Source organism: Homo sapiens, chromosome 11, assembly GCF_000001405.40.
Source record: "Homo sapiens chromosome 11, GRCh38.p14 Primary Assembly".
Lineage (NCBI taxonomy): Eukaryota > Metazoa > Chordata > Mammalia > Primates > Hominidae > Homo > Homo sapiens.
The window spans coordinates 17,327,250-17,348,578 of record NC_000011.10 but is presented as its reverse complement, the minus strand read 5'-3'; the positions used below and the strand labels follow the sequence as shown (position 1 = coordinate 17,348,578).

The 21,329-nt window shown below is 39.3% G+C and overlaps 1 protein-coding gene and 1 long non-coding RNA gene across 54 annotated transcripts in view; both read right to left on the bottom strand.

Moving 5' to 3' along the window:
• Positions 1–21,329, bottom strand: part of NUCB2 (nucleobindin 2) — a 73,242-nt gene that overhangs the window by 1,402 nt on the left and 50,511 nt on the right. For 30 of the 53 annotated variants that reach the window (XM_047426988.1, XM_017017812.3, XM_047426992.1 and 27 more), the window contains 3 exons: positions 18,282–18,452; positions 17,596–17,677; positions 16,368–17,167 (listed from right to left, as the gene is read on the bottom strand). In XM_047426988.1, coding sequence (XP_047282944.1) covers positions 17,160–17,167; positions 17,596–17,677; positions 18,282–18,452 — 261 coding nt within the window. In that variant the 3' untranslated portion in view covers positions 16,368–17,159. Of the gene's footprint in view, positions 1–16,367; positions 17,168–17,595; positions 17,678–18,281; positions 18,453–21,329 lie in introns of those variants that run through there. The other 23 variants (XM_024448553.2, XM_024448538.2, XM_024448540.2 and 20 more) reach the window with 1 other exon arrangement.
• LOC124902640 (uncharacterized) lies at positions 2,534–11,440 on the bottom strand. The gene is made up of 2 exons (XR_007062608.1): positions 11,045–11,440; positions 2,534–6,778 (listed from the first exon to the last, which is right to left on the bottom strand). It is a non-coding gene; the product is annotated as an uncharacterized LOC124902640 (long non-coding RNA).

Sequence of the window (21,329 nt, the reverse complement as noted above, 5' to 3'; positions counted from 1 at the left end):
CACTTGAGCTCAGGAGTTTGGAATCAGCTTAGGCAACATAGTGAGGCCCCATCTCCACAAAAAAAATCAAGATATTAGCTGGGTGTGGTGGTGTCACCTATATTCCCAGCTATTTGAGAGGCTGAGGTGGGAGGGAGGATGGCTCAAGGCCAGGAGGTCATGGCTGCAGTGAGCCATGATTGCACCACTGCACTCCAGCCTGGGTGACAGAGTGAGACTCTGTCTCCAAAAAAAAAAAAAAAAAAAAAAAAAAAAAAAACACAAAAACAAACAAAAAACACCTCATTCTAGACCATTGTTGTTCCAAGTAGCTGTGCTGAAGGACTCTTTAAAAGTGTCCAACCTGGCCAGGCATGGTGGCTCACCCACTTTGGGAGGCAGAGGCAGGAGGACTGCTTGAGGGCAACAGTTCAAGACCAACTGGCCAACATAGCAAGATCCTGTCTCTATTATTTTTTCTTAATTCTAAAAAATAAAAGTAAAAATAAAAAATAAGTGTCCAACCCACGAAGAACTGTCATTTTGTGAAATAAAAATGAATTACTAGAGAAATGAAATAAAAAGACATAAAAATCCAAGCCCTCAATTTTTATTCTTAGATTCAAAAGACATAAAATTATTTTTGAATTGCTATAAAAGTTTCCAACAGCATGAGTAATGTTGGTTGGCCTTCTCACCATTAGGTAACAGCCAGGCATAGACCAGCACCAGTCACAGACCACACTGTGAGAAAGACCAGTCTAGACAAATGCAGATTGAGAGCCATTCTATAAAACAAATGACCTGTACTCTCAAAAAATGTAAATGTCATGAAAGACAAAATACAACTGAGGAGCTATTCCAGATCAAAGGAAATTAAAGAGACCTTACAACAAAATCCAACACACAAATCCTGGATCATGAAAAAATTATTATAAAGGACAGTATTGAGACAGTTGGTGAAATTTGAATACGGACTATGTGTTAGATTAATAGTATTGTAACAATGTTAAATTTCCCAAATTTGATAATTATATGATGGTTATGATTAAAAAAATATTTGTTCATAAGAGATGCTCACATATTTAGGGTAAGGGATCACAATGTTTGCAGCTTAATTCTGAAACGCTTCAGTCAAACAAAGAATTGGACAGAAAGAGTGAAAGCAAGGTATACTAGAATTTGTGAAAGGAAAATATTTTGGGTCCCCAAAATCACTAAGGAAAACTCAAGATGAAAAACTGCTTAGGGTAAACCTGTCTCCTGTTGCCCTGTTTCTATTCAGTCACTCCTCTGCTCACGGAGATAGATGCATATCTGACTTGCCTCCTTTGGAAAGGTAGAAACTCAAAATGGGAAACTCAAAAGAACGTAACCCTTTGTGTATCACCTGTGACCTGGAAGCTCCCACCGCACTTAGAGCCTTCCTGCCTTTGCTTCAGGTTGTCCTGCCTTTCCAGGCCAAACCAATGTACTTCTTACATATATTGATTGATGTCTCATGTCTCTCTAAATGTATAAAACCAAGCTGTGCCCCGACCACCTTGGGCACATGTCGTCAGGACTTTCTGAGGCTGTGTCATGGCTGTGTCCTCAACCTTGGCAAAATAAACTTTCTAAATTAACTGAGACCTGTCTCAAATTTTCGGGGTTCACAAATTCATTATACTATCGTTGCAATGATTTAATTTTTTTTCAAAATAACAAACACATAACAAAACTAAATGCAATGTGTGATCCCAGATTGGATCTTAGCGCAGAAAAAATTTATAGTAGGATAACTGGCAAAATTTGCAGATTAGTTTATAGAATTGTATCAATGTTAATTTCCTGATTGTAATACTTTTACTGTAGTTATATAACATGTTGATATTTGAGGAAGCTAGATGAAGGGCATATGGGAATTCTTTATACTATTTTTGCAAATTTTTTGTAAGGCTAAAATTATTTAAAGTTGGGCAGCTAGAAGTCCTAACACCCAGTCCAGGACTTTCCACTATACCAACATCATGGACTCTGTCAGTGTGCTATCTTATTAAATGGTTCTTGAATTTAAATGGAAATATTTATTTATCATACAACACTGAAGGGTAGGGAGTGTGGCTATAAATGCTCTCAATGACATCTAAATGCTTATTAGACTCTTCATAACATCAGCCAGGTTTCCTTTCCATTATGGATTCTCTAATGATGAAAAAGAGTGAGGTGCTTTTCCACATGATTTACCACTGGTTCCCAAACTTGTCTGCATATTAGAATCACCTGGAGATGGGACCCAGGTACCAGTATTTTTTGTATCTCTTAGGTGATTCCAATATGCAGACAAGCCTGGAAACCACTGTGATTTCCACTTCAATGCTATCACTGGAAGACTTGAAGCAGGAGGTGGATAACCACTTACTAGCCATGCTGGAGAAGGGGTTCCTTCATTGGAAGATAGTATCTAAGGCCCTTACTCAGGCTCTATGACTCTCTAATATTGGTGTTTTACAAATAATCCATTCTATTAACATTGTCAAATCTTTTTTCCCAGAAAATTACAACAAATATTACATATTTTTCTAATTTTACTTTTAATATAATTAGAAATAAACCTATACAAACAACGACTAGAACAATATTTTCCAAAAAATATTGCACTGGAAGAATTTTTACAACATATATTTATAAAATGAATTCAAATGTAACAAAAATTATATAAAGTCTCTGTTTTTCTGATTCTCTATCAAATTAAAATCCAATTATTTATTTATAGTTTTAAAAATAGGCCAAATATCTAAATAAGCCAAGAAAAAATAAATCTAAGTAATCTTCAAGCTAGTAGAACTTTTTCCAAAATTTAAAAATAACGTTTTCAGCCCCATATTTATAAAAGGTTACTTTTCTTTTTTTTGAGACGGAGTGTCGCTCTGCCACCCAGGCTGTAGTGCAGTGGTGCGTTATCGGCTCACTGCAACCTCCGCCTCCCGGCCTCAAGTGATTCTCCTGCCTCAGCCTCCTGAGTAGCTGGGATTACAGGCGCCCACCACCACGCCCGGCTAATTTTTGTATTTTTAGTAGAGATGGGGTTTCACCATCTTGGCCAGGCTGGTCTTTAACACCTGACCTCGTGATCCACCCGCCTTGGCCTCCCAAAGTACTGGGATTACAGGCGTGAGCCACCGCACCCAGCCAAAAAGGTTACATTTTTAATTCAACATTTAAATTGAAAATTTTTCAATATTCTCCCAATAATTAGTAATAACAAATAAAAGCTCTTTAAAATCTTGACTTTAAAATAGGATATGTAAACCATCATTCTTAAATGGTTCTAAGACATAATTAATATTGGTAAAATATGGATTACACAGCACTGGTTTTCTTTATTTAAAAAAAAGCAATAATGGATAGGTTTTTTTTTCATGTTTTAGTTCCAGAAGACAATTTTTTTTTCAGAAGATACTGAATGGTCTTCCATCCAGAACTATTTTAGTCACAAGCTTACACACATTTTCCATCCAAAAATAAGATATTTCTATTAAAAGCTATACAAATTGGTACACAGACAGCATTTACTACACAGATACTATTTCTAAAGTTGCAAGGTTTCTAATTCTCATGTGTGCTAATAGATACCAGACTAACAGCTTCAGGAAAGATTAACCCTCCTTTCACTGTCCCTGAAAGGGGGATCCATCTTCCACCTTCAGCCTCCAGAGCTCTTCCATTCTTAGGTCCTGGAACTGGACACAGGGGCTCGGACAGAATTATCAGGAAGTCACCAGAGCCATAGCAGAAGAATGAAACAGTCACTCTAGGCATTAACTGACTTCAAATTGCTGTCCTTACAAAAATACTTAGCCTCTGTTTTATCATTTATATAAATCTTTTAGAAGATAACCCTGTTTTAATATAGTCACCTAGTCTTAATTAGTAATACAAAAGGCTTCCTTAGAGAAAAGATCAATAGCTTGGGATTGTGAGGGAAGGGAAGAATTTGTTTGAAAGGCCTGATAATAGAGTCCCATAAAGCTGGTGGCTATGAAACTTTAAGACTGAAAATGGTGCTAGGACCTCTTACATGCCTCAAAGCTTTCTCCAGTGATTAAGAAGGTGCATTAGAAATACAATAGTGGGAAAGTCAATACAAAAGTGGGAAAATGGGGGAGCGCATATAGAGAGGAAAGAACTTCTTGATTAAAATTCAGGTCATCCAGGCAAAAGTAGTGAAGAAGTAATAAACTAGGCTACTTTTCTCCTAACCAGAGATTGCTGAATTAACACCCTAGTCTTTCCGTATCAAAGATGTTTCTTCCTGTATTAACTGTAAGATGAATAATCCCTGCTGAGATCTATAAAGTACTATAGATAGGCTTCTGCTTATCTTTAAAACCATTATTATTTAAGGAGGATACAAAAAAGTCAAAGAACTGAACAGGGACATTCATCAGAGCATCTGACTGCTACGTATTTGCCCCAGATGCTGGTTCACTCAATCAGAGAGGAGTAAGGAGTCAGGGACCCACCCCATGAGTCAGAAATTCCCCTGCAGAGATACAAGAACTCTCTGCAATTGAAACCAAACCAGGAATGAGGGCCTGCCTAACTAGCTCTAGAAAAACTGACTTTTCTGCAAAGGTGCTTTTTCTTTTCCCCAAAAAATCAACCTTGAACCTCAATGAAACATACTATGAACATCAAAGGGAATAAATACACACACATATCAAAAGAAATAAAAAATGATATGGGATTAGGACTGAGATTTAGTTAGAAAAAAATTAAGATGCAAATTCTAAGATATATTACTAAGTGTCATAGAACAAGAAAGAATCACTACACAAAGTTGATAGGGATTTTAAATAGTCATGTTTGATAAAAATACTTCAATAAATACCTCCATAAAACTGTTTAAAACATTAAAGGACATAGTAAATATGCTTTAAAAAGGAAATCATCTATATATCACTACTTTAATAAGGAAATATTTAGAAAGTTGTCACACCAAGAACAGAAAGGATAAAATTCAAAAGTAAAACAACTCCAAATCACCTTAACAATGGAGGACAGCATGGAAGCAAAATAGGCCAAACAACATGGTACAAAACAAATACAACATGGCACAGACTGCATATGTGCCTCACACCCCATGCACAGAAAATCTAAAGCAAGGGCGGGGATTTAATTAAATGACACATACTCTGACATCACTAAAAATGCACATTGAAAATGAACTAAAGTTGAGCAGAAATAACATGTTAAATGCAATGATTCATGGGAGATAGCAAAGAGAACTAGATGCAATTTTTTTTTCTCTCTCACCATTAAATCAATTAAAAGACACAGACTGGCAAATTGGATAAAGCGTCAAGACCCATCAGTGTGCTGTATTCAGGAAACCCATCTCATGTGCAGAGACACACATAGGCTCAAAATAAAGGGATGGAGGAAGATCTACCAAGCAAATGGAAAACAAAAAAAGGCAGGGGTTGCAATCCTAGTCTCTGATAAAACAGACTTTAAACCAACAAAGATCAAAAGAGACAAAGAAGGCCATTACATAATGATAAAGGGATCAATTCAACAAGAAGAGCTAACTATCCTAAATATATATGCACCCAATACAGGAGCACCCAGATTCATAAAGCAAGTCCTTAGAGACCTACAAAGAGACTTAGACTCCCACACAATAATAATGGGAGAATTTAACACCCCACTGTCAACATTAGACAGATCAACGAGACAGAAAGTTAACAGGGATATCCAGGAATTGAACTCAGCTCTGCACCAAGCAGACCTAATAGACATCTACAGAACTCTCCACCCCAAATCAACAGAATATACATTTTTTTCAGCACCACACCACACCTATTCCAAAATTGACCACATACTTGGAAGTAAAGCTCTCCTCAGCAAATGTAAAAGAACAGAAATTATAACAAACTATCTCTCAGACCACAGTGCAATCAAACTAGAACTCAGGATTAAGAATCTCACTCAAAACCACTCAACTACATGGAAACTGAACAACCTGCTCCTGAATGACTACTGGGTACATAACGAAATGAAGGCAGAAATAAAGATGTTCTTTGAAACCAACAAGAACAAAGACACAACATACCAGAATCTCTGGGACGCATTCAAAGCAGTGTGTAGAGGGAAATTTATAGCACTAAATGCCCACAAGAGAAAGCAGGAAAGATCTAAAATTGACACCCTAACATCACAATTAAAAGAACTAGAGAAGCAAGAGCAAACACATTCAAAAGCTAGCAGAAGGCAAGAAATAACTAAGATCAGAGCAGAACTGAAAGAGATACACAAAAAACCCTTCAAAAAATCAAAGAATCCAGGAGCTGGTTTTTTGAAAAGATCAACAAAATTGGTAGACCGCTAGCAAGACAAATAAAGAAGAAAAGAGAGAAGAATCAAATAGATGCAATAAAAAATGATAAAGGGGATATCATCACCGATCCCACAGAAATACAAACTACCATCAGAGAATACTGTGAACACCTCCATGCAAATAAACTAGAAAATCTAGAAGAAATGCATAAATTCCTCAACGCATACACCCTCCCAAGACTAAACCCAGAAGAAGTTGAATCTCTGAATAGACCAATAACAGGCTCTGAAATTGAGGCAATAATTAATAGCTTACCAACCAAAAAAAGTCCAGGACCAGATGGATTCACAGCCTAATTCTACCAGAGGTACAAGGAGGAGCTGGTACCATTCCTTCTGAAACTATTCCAATCAATAGAAAAAGAGGGAATCCTCCCTAACTCATTTTATGAGCCCAGCATCATCCTGATAGCAAAGCCTGGCAGAGACACAACAAAAAAAGAGAATTTTAGACCAATATCCCTGATGAACATCGATGCAAAAATCCTCAATAAAATACTGGCAAACTGAATCCAGCAGCACATCAAAAAGCTTATCCACCATGATAAGGTGGGCTTCATCCCTGGGATGCAAGGCTGGTTCAACATACGCAAATCAATAAACATAATCCAGCATATAAACAGAACCAACGACAAAAACCACATGATTATCTCAATAGATGCAGAAAAGGCCTTTGACAAAATTCAACAACACTTCATGCTAAAAACTCTCAATAAATTAGGTATTGATGGGACATATTTCAAAATAATAAGAGCTATCTATGACAAACCCACAGCCAATATCATACTGAATGGGCAAAAACTGGAAGCATTCCCTTTGAAAACTGGCACAAGACAGGGATGCCCTCTCTCACCACTCCTATTCAACATAGTGTTGGAAGTTCTGGCCAGGGCAATCAGGCAGGAGAAGGAAATAAAGGGTATTCAATTAGGAAAAGAGGAAGTCAAATTGTCCCTGTTTGCAGATGACATGATTGTATATCTAGAAAACCCCACTGTCTCAGCCCAAAATCTCCTTAAGCTGATAGGCAACTTCAGCAAAGTCTCAGGATACAAAATCAATGTGCAAAAATCACAAGCATTCTTATACACCAATAACAGACAGAGAGACAAATCATGAGTGAACTGCCATTCACAATTGCTTCAAAGAGAATAAAATACCTAGGAATCCAACTTACAAGGGACGTGAAGGACCTCTTCGAGAATTACAAACCACTGCTCAATGAAATAAAAGAGGATACAAACAAATGGAAGAACATTCCATGCTCCTGGGTAGGAAGAATCAATATTGTGAAAATGGCCATACTGCCCAAGGTAATTTATAGATTCAACGCCATCCCCATCAAGCTACCAATGCCTTTCTTCACAGAATTGGAAAAAACTACTTTAAAGTTCATATGGAACCAAAAAAGAGCCCACATTGCCAAGTCAATCCTAAGCCAAAAGAACAAAGCTGGAGGCATCAGGCTACAGTAACCAAAACAGCACGGTACTGGTACCAAAACACAGATATAGACCAATGGAAAAGAACAGAGCCCTCAGAAATAATGCCGCATATCTACAACTATCTGATCTTTGTCAAACCTGACAAAAACAAGAAATGGGGAAAGGATTCCCTATTTAATAAATGGTGCTGGGAAAACTGGCTAGCCATATGTAGAAAGCTGAAACTGGATCCCTTCCTTACACCTTATACAAAAATTAATTCAAGATGGATTAAAGACTTAAATGTTAGACCTAAAACCATAAAAACCCTAGAAGAAAACCTAGGCAATACCATTCAGGACATAGGCATGGGCAAGGACCTCATGTCTAAAACACCAAAAGCAATGGCAACAAAAGCCAAAATTGACAAATGGGATCTAATTAAACTAAAGAGCTTCTGCACAGCAAAAGAAACTACCATCAGAGTGAACAGGCAACCTACAGAATGGGAGAAAATTTTCACAATCTACTCATCTGACAAAGGGCTAATATCCAGAATCTACAATGAACTCAAACAAATTTGCAAGAAAAAAACAACCCCATCAAAAAGTGGGCAAAGGATATGAACAGACACTTCTCAAAAGAAGACATTTATGCAGCCAAAAGACACATGAACAAATGCTCATCATCACTGGCCATCAGAGAAATGCAAATCAAAACCACAATGAGATACCATCTTATACCAGTTAGAATGGCAATCATTAAAAAGTCAGGAAACAACAGGTGCTGGAGAGGATGTGGAGAAATAGGAACACTTTTACACTGTTGGTGGGACTGTAAACTAGTTCAACCATTGTGGAAATCTGTGTGGCGATTCCTCAGGAATCTAGAACTAGAAATACCATTTGACCCAGCCATCCCATTACTGCGTATATACCCAAAGGATTATAAAACATGCTGCTATAAAGACACATGCACACGTATGTTTATTGTGGCACTATTCACAATAGCAAAGACTTGGAACCAACCCAAATGTCCAACAATGATAGACTGGATTAAGAAAATGTGACACATATACACCATGGAATACTATGCAGCCATAAAAAATGATGAGTTCATGTCCTTTGTAGGGACATGAATGAAGCTGGAAACCATCATTCTCAGCAAACTATCGCAAGGACAAAAAACCAAACACCACATGTTCTCACTCATAGGTGGGAACTGAACAATGAGAATACATGGACACAGGAAGGGGAACATCACACACCGGGGCCTGTTGTGGGGGTGGGGGGAGGGGGGAGGGATAGCATTAGGAGATATACCTAATGTTAAATGACGAGTTAATGGGTGCAGCACACCAACATGGCACACGTATACATATGTAACAAACCTGCATGTTGTGCACATGAACCCTAAAACTTAAAGTATAATAAAAAAAATCACTTGGACTAGTCATAACTTTGAAATCATGTGGAAAATAAATCATTACTCATTTGAAAATTCCATTAGCCAGGCACAGTGGCTCACACCTGTAATCCCAGCACTTTGGGAGGCTGAGGCAGGTGGATCGGCTGAGGTCAGGCATTCAAGACCAGCATGACCAACATGGCAAAACCCCGTCTCTACTGAAAAAACAAAAATTAGCTGGGTATGGTGGCACACGCCTGGAGTCCCAGCTACTCAGGAGACTGAGGCAGGAGAATCACTTGAACCCGGGAGGCAGAGGCTGCAGTGAGGCAAGATTGCGCCACTGCACTCCAGCCTGGGCAACAGAGTGAGGCTCCATCTCAAAAATAAATAAATAAATAAAATAAAATAAAAAATAAAAATAGGCCAGGCACGGTGGCTCACACCTGTAATCCCAACACTTTGGGAGGCCGACGCAGGTGGATCACCTGAGGTCAGGAGTTCAAGACCAGCCTGGCCACCATGGTGAAACCCCATCTCTACTAAAAACACAAAAATTAGCCAGGTGTGGTGGCATATGCCTATAGTCCCCGCTACTTGGGAGACTGAGGCAGGAGAATTGCTTGACCCTGGGAGGCGGAGGTTACAGTGAGCCGAGATCACGCCACTGCACTCCAGCCTGAGTGACAGGGCAAGACTCTGTCTCAAAAAAATAAAATAAAATAAAAATAAAAATTCTACAGAGTAGCCAAAATTATAAGAATTGTAAAATAAATATTGTAACACTTTAATTCTGAGGTATATATTCATAAATCTGGAAAGGCTTGGGAAATATATTTATTACTAATTATAAAATAATAAAAGGAGGTAAGCAAATTTTCCCAGCAAAACTTAAACTATTAACTGCAATTGATTATAAACAATTAGTAAAACAAAACTTGTTGACACAGGCATGCAGAGCTTTGATGGTAACCAGAGGGTGGAGCAGAGAAAGAGAAGTGCACTGTCAAGGGCTGGCTGACAATCAAACTGCTACATGGCATTCAGGATCACCAAGAGCATGGCTGACATCAATTAAAATATAAACTAAAAGCTCTGCTGTGAAAATTATATATATATAAAAACATGAAATATAATTGTTTGTCTACATAATTTGATGAGCAATATTTGAAAAAATCTAAATTCCTAAAACTAAATCAAAAGTTTGATTGGTTTTGATTTGCTTTTGTCTCAATAAACAGGTTGGCAATGCTAGAAACAATATATGCACATTTTTCAATTTGGTGTCTTCACCACTTGCTGATGCTGCTTTTTCTGGCTGAGTTCTTAGACTTTTAAAGAAATGGTTACTAATTCATAGCTAACAACTCATTTTTTAAATAAATTAAAAAGTAGGTGGAGAAAGATTAGAATTCTACTAACGATATTAGGTCTTTTTAAAAATCAAGGAAAAGGCCAGGCGCAGTGGCTCATGCTTGTGATCCCAGCACTTTGGGAGGCTGAGGCGGGCAGATCACCTGGGGTCAAGAGTTTGAGACCAGATTAGCCAACATAGTGAAACCCCGTCTCTACTAAAAATATAAAAAATTAGCCAGATGTGGTGGCAGGCACCTGTAATCTCAGCTACTTGGGAGGCTGAGGCAGGAGAATCGCTTGAAACATAGGAGGTGGAGGTTACAGTGAGCCATTGCACTCTAGCCTGGGCAACGAGAGTGAAACTCTGTATCAAAAATAAAAAATAAATAAATAAATAAAGGAAAGGTCTGATTTCCTTCAAATCTCACACCTGGAAAGCAGACATTTTGTCACTCATAAGGAATGAAAAAGTAAATATTGTATTTTACTTAACACACCTTAGTATCCCAATTCCAACAGAAACAAATGAATTTTAAAAGTATTAAGTTGAGGCACCAGTGGTTAAGGGTGAAGGTGGACTTCTCTAGCAGGTTCTTCAGGGGATAAAAATCCTGCATGACAAACGATGAAGCTCATCATCTAACTCTGACTGTTTTTCAATTTCTTCTTGATTGTACTTCATGGCTATAAAACAAAGATGAAAACTTATGCACTAACCAGAACCGGGATTGTCAAAACTTTATTCTAAGTTAACAGATTTTTTTAACCCCTCTCTTAAAAATCACATTAACAGCCAGGAACAATGGTTCATGTTTCTAATCCCAGCAATTTAGGGGGCTGAGGCAGGAGGATTGCTTGAGGCCAGGAATTTGAAGCCAGCCTGGGCAACATAGCAAGACCCCATCTCTACAACAAATTTAAAAATTAGCCGGGCATGGAAGCACACACCTGGAGTCCCAGCTATTCAGGAAGCTGAGACAGGAGGATTGCTTGAGCCCAGAAGTTCGAGACTATAGTGAGTTATGATGGCACCACTGTACTCCAGCCTGGATGACAGAGAGAGACCCCATCTCTAAAAGAAAAAAAAAATCATGTTATCAAAAAAATTTTATAATTTTCTTTATATTTTTCCTGAGAAAGATTTGCATTTAATCTTATTATAATACAAATCTGTTCAATTGTACATAAAATAATGCTGTTGTAAACAAATCTTGGCATAAAAAACATATATCTATGTCTCAGAGTATTTTTTTTTTTTTTTTTTTTTTTTTTTTTTTTGAGACGGAGTCTCGCTCTGTCGCCCAGGCTGGAGTGCAGTGGCGCGATCTCGGCTCACTGCAAGCTCCGCCTCCCGGGTTCACGCCATTCACCTGCCCCAGCCTCCCGAGTAGCTGGGACTACAGGCGCCCGCCACCACGCCCGGCTAATTTTTTGTATTTTTAGTAGAGACGGGGTTTCACCGTGTTAGCCAGGATGGTCTCGATCTCCTGACCTCGTGATCCGCCCGCCTCGGCCTCCCAAAGTGCTGGGATTACAGGCGTATTTTTTAATTATAGTTCTAAATTGTCTTTAGTGAGAGTTAAATATTCTAGAATATTTAACTTCAGAATCTAATTTTAATTATATATACAGTTTAAGATTCTCAAATTCAAAATTCTGAAGCCCAAAATGCTCCAAAATCCAAAACTTTTTGAGTGCCAACATGATGCTCAAAGAAAATGCTCATTTCAGATGTCTAATTTTTAGATATTGGATTACACCTGCATTATACCAATAAAAGTACAATGCAAGCTGGGCGTGGTGGCTCACACCTGTAATCCCAGCACTTTAGGAGGCCAAGGTGGGGGGATCACTTGAGGTTAGGAGTTTGAGACCAGCCTGGCCAACATAGTGAAACCCTGACTCTACTAAAAATAAAAAAATTAGCTGGGTGTGGTGACTCACTCCTGTTAATTCCAGCTACAAAAAAATCCGAAATCCAAAACACTTCAGGTCCCAAGCACCGTGGATAAGGAATGCTCAACCTCTACTTAAGTATATTATAAAATGTACATGCTTCATGAAAATTCATATGTGAAACAAAACTTCAAATTAGTAATAAATTTCACTAAGTCAGCTAAACCAAAGACATTTAATAACTAAAGAAATATGAAGAAGAATGGTATAAACACAGACCAATACTTTCTAACACAACTGAAAAGAATACTGTTTGCAACTTTCTTAGGAATAATAGGCTGGGCGCGGTGGCTCACGCCTGTAATCCCAGCACTTTGGGAGGCCAAGGCGGGTGGATCACGAGGTCAGGAGTTCAAGGCCAGCCTGACCAATATGGTGAAACCCCGCCTCTACTAAAAATACAAAAAGTAGCCAGGCACGGTGGCAGGTGCCTGTAATCCCAGCTACTTGGGAGGCTAAGGCCGGAGAATCGCTTGAACCTGGGCAGCACATGTTGCAGTGAGCCGAGATCGCACTACTGCACTCTAGCCTGGGTGACAGAGTGAGACTCTGTCTCAAAAAAAAAAAGAAATAATATTCATTCATAAATGCCTAGTACTCAAAAAATTACAATTCCTTAATCCATAATTTCAGGCTTAGTAATTCTTTTCTGAATAATATAAATTACATTAGTTTGCTGGAAACTGTGAAATATTTCTACATTAATATCCATCATTTACTTGAGCCAAAAAAGCATTTCAAGAAATTACTCTATGTCTTCCAATTAATTCGATTTAACCACAGTTTACCATCTAAAAACGTTTACCCAAAAGAATGTCTTATCAGTTTCATGTCACAGATAGTAGTCATCAACAAAAGGATATTCCAAACCATTTTTCCATATTGCTTATAATTTAAGCAATAGAGATATTCTATTGCTTATAATTTAAGCAATAGAGATTCTATTCCATTTCTTAAAAAAAATAGCAAGCACTATTACTACATTGAGTGGTTTTTGTAGGGTTTTTAAAGCTGTATATAACTTTTCTAAACTGCTATATTTAATTTTGGGATCCATTATTTAAGTATGTTTGGAGGAATATGCAATGATCATCTAAAAATTTATAAAATAAGGACTAACAGTTTAAAAATTATTAAGTGAAACAATGTAAACTTGTGAGGTGCTAGGGTAGCCTTTTTTTTTTTTTTTTGAGATAGAGCCTTGCTCTGTGGCTCAGGCTGGATTGCAGTGGCATGATTTCAGCTCACTGCAACCTCCACCTCCCAGGCTCAAGCAATTCTCCTGCCCCAGCCTCTTGAGTAGCTGGGACTATAGGTGTGCACCATCACACCCAGCTAATTTTTGTATTTTTAGTAGAGATGGGGTTTCACCATGTTGGCCAGGCTGGTCTGGAACTCCTAACCTCAGGTGATCCACTCACCTTGGCTTCCCAAAGTGCTGGGATTATAGGCGTGAGCCACCATGCCCGGCCTAGGGTAGCTTTTAACATGCATTCCTGTCACACAGAGGTAGGAAAGTTGAACATTATATTTCCCAACCTCCTTTGCAGCTAGGGTTTCAGATATGATTGGTCCAGTCCATCAGATTCACTCACTTGAGACTTTTACTCAGAGCCAAGTAACGTGGGGACAGAGGCAGGAAGAGATGTATCTATTTTTGCTGGCATAAAGCATGGCAGAGGTGGTGTGGCTCTGGAACTGGCAACTGTTCAGCAGGCAGCTTCCTAATCCAGCAGGCAGCTTCTTGATTGTTCTAAAAGCAGCAGCTCTTTCAGCAGCCTACTCTTGTGACATAATTCCTAGAAGCTCAGCCTAGATCTGTTTCTTCAACCCTCCCATTGATTCTGTGACCTATATATACTCATTCATCAATTCCCTTCTGTTTAATAGCTAAAGAAGATTTCATTGCTTACAGCCAAGAATCTTGACCTATACAGAATTTGGCAGCTAGAAGTAAAGCACAGCAAGTCGAAGGCCCTAAATCTGGGGTTGGCTTAGTTGAGGAGGTAGGGCTTTGGGCAGTGAGACTTCTTGCCAACAGAAGTCAAGGTGAGGTTGAGACTTCCTGCCACAGAGACGAAGGTGGTAGAACTTCAGAGTGCTAGCATGTGTTGGCTGCTTCTTGCCTCTTTTCAGCAAAGCCCTACAAGAGATATGTGACTTGGACTAAGATTAACAAGTCTGCAGTGACGCAAGGGAAAAATAGCTTTGCTGAGAGAATTGCTCTTTGTCTACCATATAAATTGACCAAGTCCCAAATCTGGAGCCCTGAAGAATTGAAAACTGTACTCCAAACTGAAACATTTATAAGTAAAGGCTCTGAGGGAGCTACTAAAACTTTCTCAACCTTTTTTAAGAACCTTCCCTTAAGAATTTTCTGCCAAATAATAGGAGCCATCCTAGGGGAAGAGATCAGATTAAGACTGTTGCCATTCCATGCAAGCCTACAGTCTCAAAGGATCTCAAGGAGGTACCATTCCTGTAAGAACAAAGGGGATGGAGAGCACACAGAGGCCAGCAAGTAAATGATGAGGTTCTTTGTTAAAAACAATGTATTTTACCTTGGTTAATACTGTCCATGTAAATGACTGAAGACAACAGACCAGAAACTTACTAAAGTTTTAGGAATCCACTTGGCCAAGAAACAGAACAAAACAACAACAAAAACCCAAACCTGGCCTGCAATAGACTGTAGCTGTTACGGATCTATACTCTAATTCCCAAGCCTGCCCCCAGACTCACAATTATAGGAAGTAAACTGCTAAGGCTGCCCAGCCTCCAAGAAGGGTATACTTTCCAATGCCCATTCAGATTGTGTCTGAAAATTAATGTACAATAAAAACCTCCAAGAAAGTAAAACCAAGGCCCCCTGAGGACATTAGGTAAAGGAATTCCTCTCAGAAAGGTGAATCAGGGGTTGCCTGATAGGCAAACCAAGGAATATATTCATGAACTATAGCAGAGAGATTTAATTATTTTTGCCAAGTGGTACTTTCAAATTGCTATGGATCAGTGGCCACTATATTTCTATTTCTCCCTTTTTCTAAAAGGTCAATTTTAGGGATCTTGGGCATGGTGGCTCACACCAGTGATCCCAGTGCTTTGGGAGGCTGAGGTGAGAAGATTGCTTGAGACCAGGAGTTTAAGACCAGCCTGAGCAACATAGCAATACTCCATCTCTACAAAAAAAAATGTTTAGCCAGGCGTTCGTGGCATGTGCCTGTAGTCCTAGCTACTAGGGGGACTGAGGTGGAAGGATCACTTGAGCCCAGAAGTTCAAGGCTGCAGTAAGCTATGATCACACCACTGTACTCTAGACTGGACAACAGAGTAAGACCCTGTCTCTAAAAAATTTAAAAGGTCAGTTTTCCTGCACCTTTGCATTATGCATCTGGTGCTCTCAGGGCAGAAAACTTGTCTTTCAGTTTGTAGGTGGCCAGAACACAAGGAGCCACACCCTAACATGATGGAGGGGACTGTCTCCAGATAGCATGGTCTTTCATCTAGTATGCAATAATGGGCTGGATTTCTGGTGGTTTCTCTTCAGGGAGAGAGGGGTGAGTGTTTTCTCTCTCGGAAGAAGAAGGTACACAGAATTTAGGTAGCCAACAAGGCTGGCTGAGTTTAAAATCCAAAGTTGCCTACCAAACATTCCCTCTTCCCTTCTTCCTTAGTAAAAGAATCCAACTTTTAGCTGGTCACATTGCCACATTGACTTCTCAGCCTCCCTAGCAGCTAGGTGTGGCCATCAGTGTGACCCAGTTCTGGTCGAAACATAAGTTCAGGTGCTGCTGGTTCTGGAAAATGGCCTCAGGGAAGCTAACTCAAGCAGAGAAAGTCCAGTTTTCTTGCCTTCCCCACTGCCTCCAGGAGCAAACTTGAACAGTGAGAGTGAGGTAATCTGAGGATAAAAATCATGCACTGAGGATAGCAGAGCAGAAAGATAGGAACCTGGACACCACCTACTTCTAGACTTATGTAAGAAGAAAAACTCCTATTTAGTTTAAACCACTGTTATCTTTGTTTTTTCTGTTATATGTAACATAACCTAATCTTAAATGATAAAGTATAGAGCAAAATAAAAAAGAATGAAAAATGACCTGAAGTGGTAGCAAAAGTGATTCAGGTGAAGAATTTCTAGCAGTTGAGGTTGCCAAAACTAGAAAAACGTTACCAGGAAACACAGGGAAATACTGTGGCCTTTCCAGAATTGTTAATATCAAACAGACATTTATTGAAAGAAGGAATGATAAGCACCCATAAAAGAATACCTATGTTTACGAGTAAGTGAGAGCAATCTAATTTAAAAGCAAGAGGCAGAGTTTTCTCACTTAAATAGTTCCTAATAGTTTCACTAAATTATGGCATAAAGCCACTTAATTAAATCATTAAAGGAGAACAAAAAAATAAATAAAAGAGCCGTGTGAATGTGAGAGCAGAGAGCAGACAGTGAGTTTGTTTTCTTCCTGGTTCTGATAAACTTCAATCCTTTAATATCTGTGTCCCAAAAAAAGTGTTTTCATTTAAAAAGTATCTCCCTTTATTTCAAATATGCTTTTAAAATATTTATTGAGCAGAGAAAAAGGAAGGGAGCTAAAAAGATGAAATAGATGTTGAGTTAACAGCTTTCTTCCAAGTTCTGGTGGACTTCAGACTTTAAATGTCTGTTGGAAAAAAGAAAAAAGTTCTTATTTTAAAAGTATCTTCCTTTATTCTAAATGTTCCTTCATATACAAATATACTTGTTTTAAAAAATATGCTTAGCTAATCATAGATCACAATTTTAAAAAACATATTCTCTGGTAAGATTAATATAATTAGAAAGAATTACAAATAAAGTTGAAATAAATCATTTTACCATAAATATGGTTATCAAATTATACAAATGATACAGCACTTAAAATTTGCTGCTACATAAAACTTTTGGAGGCATTTTCATTTTTCTATAATCTAAATTGCTCTAATACCACAAAAAATACACAAAAAATAACATAACATCTTAATGATTTGAAATTATATTTGTAATAAATGTGGATTTCAATTGATAAAATAATTTATTTTCCTAAATAAATAATCAAACAAAATTACACACGTGGCTCAAACTTCAATTCTCCAGCTGGCCCTGATGGAGGAATTCCTTGTTGTAATTTTTTTTGTTCCATCTGCTGTATGACCTGGTGAATGGAAAATGAAAGTTAAAAGTATAACTTGATTTTCTATCATATGTGTGACCTTTGACAAAGCACAACAAAGTAAATGAAAATTGTTTTCTAAAACAAAGATATTCAAACTATAAGATTTAGATTTGACTAGGTGCAGTGGCTCACGCCTATAGTCCCAACAATTTCAGAGGCCCAGGTGGGAAGATCACTTAAGGCCAGGAGTTCGAGACCAGCCTCGGCAACACAATGAGACCTGGTCTCTACAAAAAATATTAACATTAGCCAGGAACACTGGCATGCACCTGTAGTCCTAGCTACTGGGGAGGCTGAGGTGGGAGGATCACTTGAGCCCAGGAGTTTGAGGCTGCAGTGAGCTATGATCACAGCACTATACTCCAGCCTGGGAGACAGGCTGTCTCAAAATAAAATAAAATGAAATAAAATAAAATTTAGATTAATATTCCACAAAACAGTTTTAAAGTATTAAAATTTAAAATACTATAGTATAGCTATAGCAGTGTACTATATAGTACAATGAAATATGTTACAAAAACACAGGCTTTTAACAAAGCACCTAAAATCTTTTTAATGCCATAATCTTTTGACAAAATGCCACCTGATGATATTCCAGCTTCTGAGCCTCCAGTTGATCATGCTGACGTTGTAGCTCTTCTTTTTGTTTCTGAAGCTCATCTGCCTTCTTCTTAAGTTCATTTTCTTGTAAAGCAATAATATTTTCATATTCTTTTAGTTCTTCCTCTGTGAAGAACTGTTGCTGATCTAATGTCTAAAAGAAAAAAAATGAGGAAAGAATAATCTCAAAACTACAACAATAAAGTCTGATTTAGCTTTAAAATTCTATGGTTAGCAAAGTATAAAAGAGTATCTATAGGATTACGCCTTTGGAGGTAAGAAGGAAGGGGAAATAAGTAATATATATTTATGTACTCATTTGAACAAAAGGAAAAACAGGAAGAAAAACTCAAGAGATTCTCTTCTGGGATTGACAACTAAAGGCAAAGAGTGAGAACTGGGTAGAAGAGGCAAAGAGAACGTGGGAAGAGAAATAAAATTTGTCATTCCCCCCAACCCTCACTGAAACATGAAATTTTAACAGCTGTCTGCACACAGAAAAGCACAAGAAGCAAACATCAGGTGAGCACTCACAGTACCTGGTTTCAACTTCATATCACCTGCAAAGACACTGAGAAGGGCAAAAGAGACAGTCTTGAATCACCTATGCCACCTCTCTCCCATTCCCTCGTGGCAGACCTGCAGCACAGAGAGTCTGTGCCCTCTGGGGAGGGAGCATAGCGACTGGGGGACTTTACATTGAACTCAGTGCTGCCCTGTCACAGCAGAGAATAAAGCTGTGCTGGGCTCCACCACTGCCCATGCATAGGAGCATTTGAAGCAGCCCTAGCCAGAGGAGAATCACCCATCCCAGCAATGGGCACTGAATTTCCTGGCAGGCCTCACCATGCGGGCTGAAGTGCTCTGGGGTCCTAGGTAAACTTGAAAGGCAGTCTAGGAAAGGAGGACTGTAATTCCTAGGCAACTCCTAGTGCTAGGCTGGGCTTAGAGCCAGTGAACTAGGGTAGCAGGTGACCAGGGGAGATACCAGCTGGTGAGGCTAAGGGAACGCTTGTGCTACCCCTCCCCCAACCTCAGGCAGTGCAGCTTGTGGCTATGAAAGTGACTCCTTTCTTGAGGAAAGGAGAGGAAAAAGTAAAGAGGGCTTTGTTTTGCATCTTGGATACCAGCTAAGCCATAGTAGGATAGGACACCAGGCAGAGTTGTGAGGACCTGATTCCAGGCCCTAGCTCCCAGGTGACATTTCTAGACATACCCTGCTGGCCCAAAAGGAAACTGCTGCCTTAAGGGAGCAGTCCTGGCAGGCTTCATCACTTGCTAAGTAAAGAGCCCCTGGGCCCTGAATAATCAGCGGCAAGACCCATGGAGTATGCTGTGGGTCTTGGACTGAGACATGCTGGCTTCGGGGTGACCCAGCACATTCCCAGCTGTAGTGGCTATGGCGAGAGACCCCTGTTTGAGGAAAGCAGAGGGAAAGTAAAGGCGATTTTTGTCTTGCACCCTAGGTACCAGCTCAGCCACAATGGGGTAGACCAACAAGCAGTCTTTTGGAGTCCCTGAGTCCAGGCCTTGGCTCTTGGACAGCATTTCTGGACTCGCCTTGGGCCAGAGGGGAGCCCACTTCCCTGAAGGGTAAAGGCCTGGCAGCATTTACCGCAAGGTGACAGAAAAGCCCTTGGGCTTTCAGTAAATATCAGCAGTGGCTGGCAGAACCCCATGTGGACCAGAGATGGTGGTAGTAATGGCCACAGGGAGAGGGTCCTCTGCCTGTGGAAAGAGGAGTGAAGAGCAGGAAGGCTTTTGTATTGTGATTTGAGTGTCAGCTTAGCCACAGTAAAACTGAACATCAGGTAAATTGCTAGGGTTTTTTACTCCATTCCCTGGCTTCTAGACACCATCTCTGGACACACCCAGGATCTGGGGGAACTCGCCACCATGAAGGAAAGGGCCTTGGGCAAGGCCCAGTGCCATGTTGGCTTCAGGCTTGACCCAGCACAGTTCCGTGGTGATGGCCATAAAGGTACTTGCATCACCACACCTCCAGTTCCAGGTGGCTCAGCACAGAGAGAGAGACCATTTGTTTGGAAGAAAGTAAGGGAAAAGAACAAGAGTCTCTGCCTGGTAATCTAGAGAATTCTTCTGGATCTTATCCAAGACCACCAAGGTGGTACTTTTAAGAGTCTGCAAAAATCACAGAATTACTGGACTTTGGGCCCAAGTCCCGTGGAATACCTGGAAAGCTTTCCAAAGAAGGACATGCACAAACAAACCCAGAGTGTGAAGATTACAGTAAGTATCTAACTCTTCAATGCTCTGATACCAACAAACATCTACACACATCACCACCACCCAAGAAAACATGACCTAACCAAATGAATTAAATAAGGCACCAGGTTCCAATCCTGGAGAACCAGAGATATATGACCTTTCAGATACAGAATTCAAAATAGCTGTGTTGAGGAAACTCAAAGAAATTCAAGGTAACACAGAGAAGGAATTCAGAATTCCATCAGATAAATTTAACAAAGAGATCAAAATAATTAGAAAGAATCAAGCAGAAATTCTAGAGTTAAAAAAATGGAACGGACACGCTGAAGAATGCATCGGAGTCTCTTAATAGCAGAACTGATCAAGTATAAGAAAGAATTACTGAGCTTGAAGACAGGCTATTTGAAAATACAGAGGACACAAAGGAGAGAGAATGAAAAACAATGAAAGCATGCTTACAAGATCTAGAAAACAGCCTCAAAACGGCAAATATAGGAGTTTTATTGGCCTTAAAGAGGAGGCAGAGAAAGAGATAAGGGTAGAAAGTTTATTCAAAGGAATAATATCAAAAATATTTCAACATTCAAGTGCAAAAAGGTTATAGAACACCAAGCAGATTTAACTCACGTCAGACTACCTCATGGCATTTAATAATCAAACTACCAAAGGTCAAGTACAAAGAAAGGATCCTGGCGAGGCGTAGTGGCTCACACCTGTAATCTCAGCACTTTGGGAGGCAGAGGTGGGCAGATCACTTGAGACCAGGATTTCAAGACCAGCCTGGCCAACGTGGAAAAACCTC